Source organism: Homo sapiens, chromosome 12 (genome assembly GCF_000001405.40).
Source record: "Homo sapiens chromosome 12, GRCh38.p14 Primary Assembly".
In the NCBI taxonomy this organism is placed as follows: domain Eukaryota; kingdom Metazoa; phylum Chordata; class Mammalia; order Primates; family Hominidae; genus Homo; species Homo sapiens.
In genome coordinates, this window is record NC_000012.12 from 53,468,936 (window position 1) to 53,478,823 (window position 9,888).

At 43.7% G+C, this 9,888-nt stretch overlaps 1 protein-coding gene across 7 annotated transcripts in view; it reads left to right on the forward strand.

The window, feature by feature from the left end:
* PCBP2 (poly(rC) binding protein 2) overlaps positions 1 to 9,888 on the forward strand; it is a 29,061-nt gene that overhangs the window by 16,834 nt on the left and 2,339 nt on the right. For all 7 annotated transcript variants that reach the window (NM_005016.6, NM_001128911.2, NM_001128913.2 and 4 more), the window contains one exon: positions 2,703 to 2,872. In NM_005016.6, the coding sequence (NP_005007.2) occupies positions 2,703 to 2,872 (170 nt within the window). The remainder of the gene's footprint in view (positions 1 to 2,702; positions 2,873 to 9,888) is intronic.

The following is a 9,888-nucleotide window of genomic DNA, read 5'->3' on the forward strand; positions in this document are numbered from 1 at the left end:
TAAACAGCCCAGGCTGTAGTGCAGTGGTGCGATCTTGGCTCACCGCAGCCTCCGCCTCCCGGGTTCAACCAATTCTCCTGCCTCAACCTCCTGAGTAGCTGGGATTACAGGCATGTGCCACCATGCCTGGCTAATTTTGTATTTTTAGTAGAGATGGAGTTTCTCCATGTTGGTCAGGCTGGTCTCAAACTCCCGAGCTCAGGTGATCCACTCACCTTGGCCTCCCAAAGTGCTGGGATTACAGGTCTGAGTCACCGCACTTGGCCTACATGTCCTGCTACTTTTAAGCCCTAGGGAAAGAAACTGGGAATTTTATTATTTTATCTTTATTTTTGTTTTTGTTTTTCATACCCCAGGAATGGAAAATGGGAATTTTTAGACACAAAAATAAGTTGATTATAATATACAGAATTGTGATGACAAATATGATAAGAGAAAATAGACTATTATTGTGTGAGGTATGACGAGACAGCAGTAACTTTTTGCTGAAAATAGAAATTCCTGGCTGGGCACGGTGGCTCACTCCTGTAATCCCAGCACTTTGGGAGGCCGAGGCGGGTGGATCACCTGAGCTTGGAAGTTCGAGACCAGCCTGACTACCATGGAGGAACCCATCTCTACTAAAAATACAAAAAAAGCAAAAAGCCTGGCATGGTGTTGCATCTCTGTAATCCCAGCTATTTGGGAGGCTAAGGTAGGAGAATTGCTTGAAACCCGGGAGGCGGAGGTTGTGGTGAGCCGAGATCGCGCCATCGCACTCCAGCCTGGGCAACAAGAGCGAAACTCCATTTCAAAAAAGGAAAGAAATTCCTGTACATTTGCTGCTTTTTTTTTTTTTTTTTTTGAGACGGCATCTTGCTCTGTTTCCCAGGCTTGGCTCACTGTGACCTCCGTCTCCTGGGTTCAAGCAATTTTCCTGCCCCAGCCTCCCGAGTAGATGGGACTACAGGCATGTGCCACCATGTCCGGCTGATTTTTGTATTTTTTTTAATTAGAGATGGGGTTTCTCCATGTTGGTCAGGCTGGTCTTGAACTCCTGACCTTACGTGATCCCCCCCCTTCAGCCTCCCAAAGCGTTGGGATTACAGGTGTGAGCCACTGCGTCCAGCCTGCTTTTGTTTTTTTGTAGAAGCTAAAGCCTTATCTTTAGAAGATGTTGTGGTTTTCAGCCAGGTGCAGTGGCTCATGCATATAATCCCAGCACTTGTGGGAGGCTGAGGCAAGTGGGTCACGAGGTCAGGAGACCAGCCTGACCATAGTGGTGAAACCCTGTCTCTACTAAAAATACAAAAATTAGCCAGGTGTGCTGGCCCGCACCTGTAATCCCATTACTCAGAAGGCTGAGGCAGGAGAATCCCCTGAACCTGGGAGGCGGAGGTTGCAGTGAGCCAAGATCGTGCCACTGCACTCCAGCCTGGGCAACAGACCAAGACTCCGTCTCTCAAAAAAAAAAAAAAAAAAAAAAAAGTGTAGTGGCTTTTTTTTTTGACAAAGGGTCTCCCTCTGTTGCCCAGGCTGGAGCAGAGAGGCATGATCGTGGCTCACTGCAGCCTTGAACTTCCAGGCTTAAGAGATCCTCCCATCTCAGCCTCCTGAGTAGCTGGGACCACAGGTGCATGCCACTATCCCTGGCTAACTTTTTTTGTATTTTTTTTGTAAAGACAAGAGTTTCGCCATGAAACTCCTGAACGCAAGTGATTGGCCTGCCTCAGCCTACAGGCATGAGCCACGGTCCCCCACCATAGTGTAGTGGTTCATGAACATCAGATCTGTGCTGTCCAGGGTCATATTTTTTACAGTATTAGTGCAAATGTTAACCAGTTTTTTTTTTTTTTTTTCCACCTTTTCCCAAGGCAAAAACACCTTAGGAATTGGCCAGAATTCTTGTCGGTATAGGAGGGTGGTAATCATGGCAGGATGACTTTAAGCATATTTGCTGCCAGAAACAGAATGTATTTCTACCTTTATCTATTTCTAGCTGTCTAAATTTATTTTTGTTTTGGCTCTGCTTTGTCTTTGGAAGTAATATTCTGAGGACAGAAATAATGAAGAGCTAATACTTGGACCTAAGAGTATTATGTCTCTTGGACCTAAAAGACAGTTCTGAGTTGGCTCAGAACTGGCTGTCACTCACCATGGGTGGTCAGACTGAAAAATGGGTCAAGAGTTGAGTTTTTTGATCAAAAGTGTATGAGTAAAGGGTGTAGGATGAAATTGGGCATGGCGGTATACACCTGTAATCCCAGGTTACAGGGAGCACAGAGATACAGAGGCTGAGATTCGAAAATGGCTTAAACCAAGGAGTTTGAGACTAGCCTGAGCAACATAGCGAGACCCTCGGTTTTTTTTTTTTTTTTTAAAGGGCCAGGTTCGGTGGCTTATACCTGTAATCCCAGCACTTTGGGAGGCCAAGGTGGGTGGATCACAAGGTCAAGAGATTGAGACCATCCTGGCCAACATGGTGAAACCCCGTCTCTACTAAAAATACAAAAATTGGCTGGGCATGGTGGCATGCGCCTGTAGTCCTGCTGAGGCAGGTGAATTGCTCAAATCCAGGAGGCTGAGGTTGCACAGTGAGCCAAGATCAGGCCACTGCACTCCAGCCTGGCCACAGTCGTAGGATTTGGGGTGGGGGGGTGGGATTCTTAGACCTAGCCATGCAACTCTAATTCGGTGTGCCTTGTTTTTCTTTCTCCCTTAAGTTGATTGGCTGCATAATCGGGCGTCAAGGCGCCAAAATCAATGAGATCCGTCAGATGTCTGGGGCGCAGATCAAAATTGCGAACCCAGTGGAAGGATCTACTGATAGGCAGGTTACCATCACTGGATCTGCTGCCAGCATTAGCCTGGCTCAATATCTAATCAATGTCAGGTAAGATTGCTCTACCTTTTGTCTTATTTATGCCAACACAGTAATGTGTGTGTTGGGGAGAGCTGCAGTGTATTAAATATGGGATTACATGGGCGATGGGTAAAGATGGCCAAAAGGTTTTTTTTTTTTTTTGCTAGCTCTACTTTCTTAGAGTGTAGCAGAAAAAGTAAACTGCAGTAAGTTTTCAAGGGGTTGGTGGGGGGGGGAGCACAGATTGCCCGCATTTAACTTGATGGTTTGGTAAGAGGGAAGAGTGGTCCTTGTCTTCAGTAAGAGTCCTCTGGCTAGAGCACTCACAAAATCAAATGTGGGTCTCTCTTGTTCTACATAGCATATAGACTACTATTTCTTTCACTGATTTGATTTGGAGTCCAAAGCACCCTTAATTGTAATAAGGACATTGGAGTAATAGGACAGCAAGGCAGTTTCTGGGAGGCAGCAATTACCATTTATTCTGGAAACACCCATTTTTCTCACACTGCATGTGTGTTTTATTCAGAGCTTGTGGGAATGTGGGAAGCACAGGTATTGGAATGTTTCGGAAGTGTGAAGTGTGTTTTCTATCTCACTCCTCCCCCAATCTCATCCCTTAATGACTTCCTGAGGGTTTTATTTCCCTTATCCATAGCTAGGTAGTGTTACTACTCTCAATTTTAGGACACTGTTCACAGTCAAATGGGATCCTACAGTCATTTATATTACTTGCTTTCTCAACTCATGGGCTGAAGTCACACCCTTAATTGCTTACTAATATTTCAAAGCATTGTTAGCCTTGAGGCCCTTAGGTCTCTTTTAATAGGGAATGTTGTCTAGTTATCATTTACCTTTCTTATAAGTGTTTAATCTCTTTGTCATAAAAGTTTTACATGAGTTCCTGAATCTAGTACAGGGGAAAGGAATTCCTAAGTATGTGGTCTGTATTGTGCTTGTACTGACCATGTATATATGCTATGGTTATTTAGTGCTAGCTAAGAACATACCATTTCCCCAGTAGCAGTCTGACTTTTGCCTTAAGACTTCATATCTTGAGGTGCTACTACTCTTTGTGTAGAAAAGCTTTCCCTTTCCTAGATTTGTTTTCTTGTCCACCCACCAAGCACACTAGGTCCTTAATGTTGAGAATGAAATGGTAGTAGTAAACTTTTGCACCAAGGTTGTTTGCAAAGAGGTCTTTTTCTTTTTTAGAGATAGGGTTTCATGTTGGTCAGGCTCGTCTCCAACTCCTGACCTCAAGTGATATGCCTCCCAAAGTGCTGGGATTACAAGAATTGTTTTTCTTTCTTTTTTTTTTTTTTGAGACGGAGTCTTGCTCTGTCACCAGGCTGGAGTGCAGTGGCTCCATCTCGGCTCACTGCAACCTCTGCCTCCTGGGCTCAAGTGATTCTCCTGCCTCAGCCTCCCAAGTAGCTGGGACTTACAGGCACGTGCCACCACGTCCAGCTAATTTTTGTATTTTTAGTATAGACGGGGTTTCACCATGTTGGCAAGGATGGCCTCGATCTTTTGACCTTGTCATCCACCTGCCTCGGCCTCCCAAAGTGCTGGGATTACAGGCGTGAGCCACTATGCCCAGCTTGTTTTTCTTATTTGTAATTAGGATTTTGGAGGGCAAGAAGTTTTCAGTTTTCAGTGGCAAGAATCAGGTTTTTGAAAGCTGGAATTTGTTTTGTTCTTTCGATAGGCTTGCCCTTCATGTAATTTAAATTGTGACTGTTTAAATGTGACCTGCTTGCCTAGCTCCTGCAATAGGTCAGTGGCTACATTGTAAGGAAGCAGAATTCTCTTGGTAGAGTGGCTCTTTTCAGGATCATTGTTACTGAATAGCAATTCGGTATCTTAGCCATGGATTAGGGTCAAAACTTTTCAAAGCTTCATCTAACACCAAAGCAAAGATTATGCATGCACAAAGCTTATTCTTTCTCAACTTGGTGCAGTTTAAATGCAGAAGTCAAAGGGTTTTTTTTTTTTTCCTTTCTCATTTTTTTTAAGTCAAGAAGGATTTTACTGGATTCTGAGCATTTTCTCCTGTCTCTTGATTTTTCATGGTGGCAGTCTGTCCTTTTATATAGTTAGTTGACTTCTGTATCCCTTTCCTTTATGGATTGCAGCTGTCCTTGGACATAGGTAAATAAAATGAGGTTTTAAGAGGAGCCTTTCTGCTCTTGAAGACTTAGCGTTGTGGGCTCAATTGTCCAGGCACACTTCCCAAATATATGTAGTTCTGGCTTAGACACATACAGGCATTTGGGAGACATGTACCCTTACTGTTCTGTGGAGCTTATTTTGGGAGTGGAAGCAGCAGCATTTTCGCTTAAGTATGAATTTTTAGGTGATACTTGAGTTTCTCTTTTCCACTTCTGAAAGGTCCACATTAGAAGTATGATCAGTCAGAAACAACTTTTTATACCACCTCCCACCAGAAAAGCTTCCCTAGTTCTTATCTACACTTCTGTTCTCAGCATTTTTCTTTGAAAACGCTACATTCTTTGAAATTTGAAATTAGTCAGTGACCTACTTTGGACTCTTGTCTCTTTCCACCCTGATACTGGTTTGTTTGCTGTGGAGATGTAAGCAGACTTTAATACATAGCTGGAAGGATTTTTAAAAATTCTGCTTTATAAATATTCAAAGCTTCACAAGTAATTGTGGGATAATTGATTTTCTGTTAGAATAGGAAATTGACATTTGATTAGAGGAAACATTTCTTCCTTGTTGGGTGATTGATGAGTATCTTTTTCTACCCGAAATCATTCCTTCAACATCTGGGTTGGGTCAGTGTGTCAGATACATGAAGTATGTGCCCTATGATTTCTTTTCTCTGTCAGCTTTTTCTTCACCATAGCAGTTTTTAAGTAGCTCTGTGGAATGGAAATATACATATTTAGAGGGTGGGACATAGGCTAAAAGAAAGCTTGTCACAAGTTGACACTAGGTCTTCCTAATTGTCAACCAGAGGCACTTACTGATATAACTGAAGCAGTTTTTGTCCTGTACTTACTCCCTTTTGTGGTCTTCCCTTCCACCCACCCTTTTTTTTTGTTCCTTTTTTCCTCTGTTACAGTTTAGAAAACGCTAAACCCTCCTCCCAGGCAGCCTCCGTCACGATCCCTGATCACCTCAGCATCAACCTCTCTCAACCCTCCACCCCTTCTTCTTCTTCCTCCTCCACCACCACCCCCTCGCTCGCCACAGCGGGGACCTCCGACGCACCCTCCAGCCTCCCCAACCCTCTTCCGACCGCCCCTTGTGTCTCCAGTCTGCTTGGCATGAAACCCATCCCTCTCCTGGCTCTAAATGTTGTGTCTGCTGCTAAGGGTACCGGGGCTTCAGCTACCACCACCACCACCTCTGCCGTGCCATGTGTAACTAACAAACTGAAAGGCGAGAAACAGAGATTCTCTCCCTACTGATTGCATACCTTGAGGCACCTCCTCCAGTATTATTTTGTTCATTTTGTTTTCCTTTGTTAACATTGGTGAGAATGAAACTATTGTGAGCTTGTTACCGTTTCCTTTTTACTACTTTGGGGGATAACTGGGTGGGGGTGGGGGAGTGGTAACCCTTGTTTAGGTTTAGGCCATTTCAGCTGAGTGCCTGTTTCAGGGTCTGACTTGAATTCTTTATCTAGAGCCACAGTTTTCTCTTCTTTCTTGTTTGTTACTTTTCTTTGTAGCTTTATTCTGCCTTGCAATATAACAATGTGTTAGGCTCTGTGTTAATGAATAAAAGCTGCTTCGTTAACTTTTTTTTTTTTTTTTAAGAATTATTTAATGGTTAAGCTATCAGCAGGCCTTCTTGGCCATATTTGTGTTTCTAGCTGTAATAAAGTTGGCGCAGTAAGAACCTTAGTACACTGTGTGCTGTGAAGGGTAAAGGGTTGGGGGCTTGTGACTTGTGGCTATTCAGCTAGGAAGCCTGTATAACTGACATGGGCTTTTTGAATCCCAAGTGAATTTTATAGTCGTTTGTCAATATTTCCACAAAGAGATAACGAGTCTGTGGCAGTTTAGATCCTGAAGGTCCTCTGTAATTGGCAACAAGCTTCACTAGTGAGGAAGTTTATCTGACTTCTCAGATGGCCTTACCTTGCCAGCAGCAGCTAACAAGGTGTTCATCCCAGGATTCCTCTGGTGAATGGTTACCATGAGGATCTCTTCCAAGTCATACATTCAAAGAACATACTTCTTTACCCAGAATGAAGGGGAGGGGCAAAGTGGGATAAGTCTAATAAAATTAGGCAGCTTCTGTCTGCATTCCTCTGAATTAGCATTATGCCTCTTTCTGTGACATTAGGTATATCTCAGCCAACCCGTGACATTATCCACAACTTGACATGATGCCATCCACTAGTCCTAAACCAACTCTGTCAACCAAGTTTCTTTACCCTTTTTTCTATTCCTGGCCGTATCCTTTCTGCTCCCCACCAGCACTATCAGGAGTAGGAAGTGACATGCTTAGATTTGGAAGGAACCTTAAGGATCAACTAATCTGTAACACATTGATCCCCTCATTTTACAGATTAAAAAATAGAGGCCCTAAGATAATTTAAATTCATAGGTTATGAGTGACTAGCCAGGACTAACAACTTAAGCTTTACTTTTACTCAATCGTACTAACCTCCCTGAAATCTTGTTCATTTTCTTATACTAAGATGGGCACAGGCCTCTCATAAAACAGTAGAAATGTTCTTAGTATGGTGGTATAAGGCCTCTGATAGCCTTCCATTCAACGAGAGTACACGTTGCCACAGTGCTGAAAGTGTAATGCTCTTCCCAGGGCATTAGAGAACTCAGTGTAGAGATAGTTTCCCTGATGACCTTTTCCCAGCATCACCATTGGCTGACAAAAAAAAAAAAGCTGTTAGTATTCCAATATATTATCTCATTCTTTGATGTTATTTTGGCCCCTCCATCCCAGATTGGGCCTGTGAAGAAGTGTTACACGTCTCAAGTATGCATAAAGGATTAGATGGCCAAACCTGTCCAGTAAGGAGTTTTATTTAGTTGCTCCTTTATCATGTGGTCCAGCTCTCTCCCTTGGTAAGCTTGCTCCTCCTGTAGTTAGGACTTAATCATGCTGATACCATCTCCCCCCAGGGATGTGGTTTTATCTAGTTCTTGATTGGAAGGCCTCTTAACCTAATGGCTATTCCCCAAGGAAGGATTCCACATGTTTAAGGGTCTAGCTACCATCACTACCTCCAAAGGGCCTCAGTTTTAAATTTTTTTAAACCCTAGAGCTCCCCCATGTGGTCTTTTATCCTAGAGTACCTGACTCAGTATTTCATAGCATCCCCTTCTCCCTGCGTCACCTCCCCCACCCCAGCAAATCCCCATTCGGGCTTGATACACATTCAGAACATTTCTTTCAGAGCTCTGGTGGGGCCAGAGTGCTACCACCAATTTTTATGAACTTAAATTTTCAGGTCCTAGATCTAATGGTATCTAGCAGTTCCTTTCTTAGACCTTCAGTTCTTACTGAACCCTTTAATCCAGGGCTATTGTTTACCTTTCCTTAGATCATTGTGTTTTGAAATTGGCACGAATCTACCCCCCTTTTAAGAACTAAATATCCCCTGCCGGGCACGGTGGCTCACGCCTGTAATCCCAGCACTTTGGGAGGCCGAGGCGGGTGGATCACGAGGTCAGGAGATCAAGACCATCCTGGCTAACACAGTGAAACCCCGACTCTACTAAAAACATAAAAAAATTAGCTGGGCATGGTGGTGGGCGCCTGTAGTCCCAGCAACTCGGGAGGCTGAGGCAGGAGAATGGCGTGAACCTGGGAGGCGGAGCTTGCAGTGAGCCGAGACCGCGCCACTGTACTCCAGCCTGGGTGACAAAGCAAGACTCTGTCTCAAAAAAAAAAAAAAAAAAAAAAAAAAAAACCCTAAATATTCCCTTAATACTGAGGTGGAGAAACCATTTCTGACTAAAAGTAAATAGTTTGTAGTCGAAGGACTTTGCAGTTTTTTGGCCCTTGCTTTTCTACCCAGCTTTTGGCTTTGCATTGTTGTGGAAGGGATACAGATGGTGAATTACCAATCATGTTTTCATGACCACATATCACAAATATTTTATGCTAATCAGTTTAAAATCTTATGAAATAACTTATCTTATGAACTGAAATGAAGTCTTATACATTTGGTTCTATTCAAAATGAGGGCAAAGTCTTGCTGCCTACCTACCTACCAGTGAAGCATACTGAGTACTTAAATACTTTTCCCTGAAAGCCCTAAATTGGATTCCAGGACCTCAAATGACTATCTCTTTGAAACAGAAAGGCATTGTAGCCAGGTATGTTTAGATGGAGGATATGGCTTGACAAGATCTAGGAGCTTGTAGAGTGAGCTACAGAGTTGAAACAAATTATTTTGTCTGCTACTTTTAAGTCCTGAAAACTTTTTAAAGAACTTTTTAAGGCCGGGTGTGGTGGCTCATGCCTAATCCTAGCACTTTGGGAGGCCAAGACAAGTGGATCACCTGAGGTCAGAAGTTTGAGACCAGCCTGGCCAACATGGTGAAACTCTGTCTCTACTGAAAATACAAAAATTAGCTGGGCATGGTGACAGCTGCCTGGAATTGCAGCTACTCAGGAGGCTGAGGCAGGAGAATCGCTAGAACACGGGAGGCAGGGGTTGCAGTGAGTTGAGATTGCGCCATTGCACTCCAGCCTGGGTGAAACTCAGTCTCAAAAAAATAAATAAATAAATAAGGCCAGGCGCGGTGGCTCATGCCTGTAATCCCAGCACATTGGGAGGCAGAGGCAGGCAGATCACCTGAGGTCAGGAGTTTAAGACCTGCCTGGGAAACCTGTTGAAGCCCCGTCTCTACTAATAATAGAAAAAGTAGCTGGGAGTGGTGGTGGCTGCCAGTAATCCCAGCTATCAGGTGGAGGCTGAGGCAAGAGAATTGCTTGAGCCAGGGAGGCACAAGTTGCAGTGAGGCAAGATCACATCACTGTACTCTAGCCTGGGTGACAGAGCTAGACTCTGTCTCAATAAATAAGTAAATCTG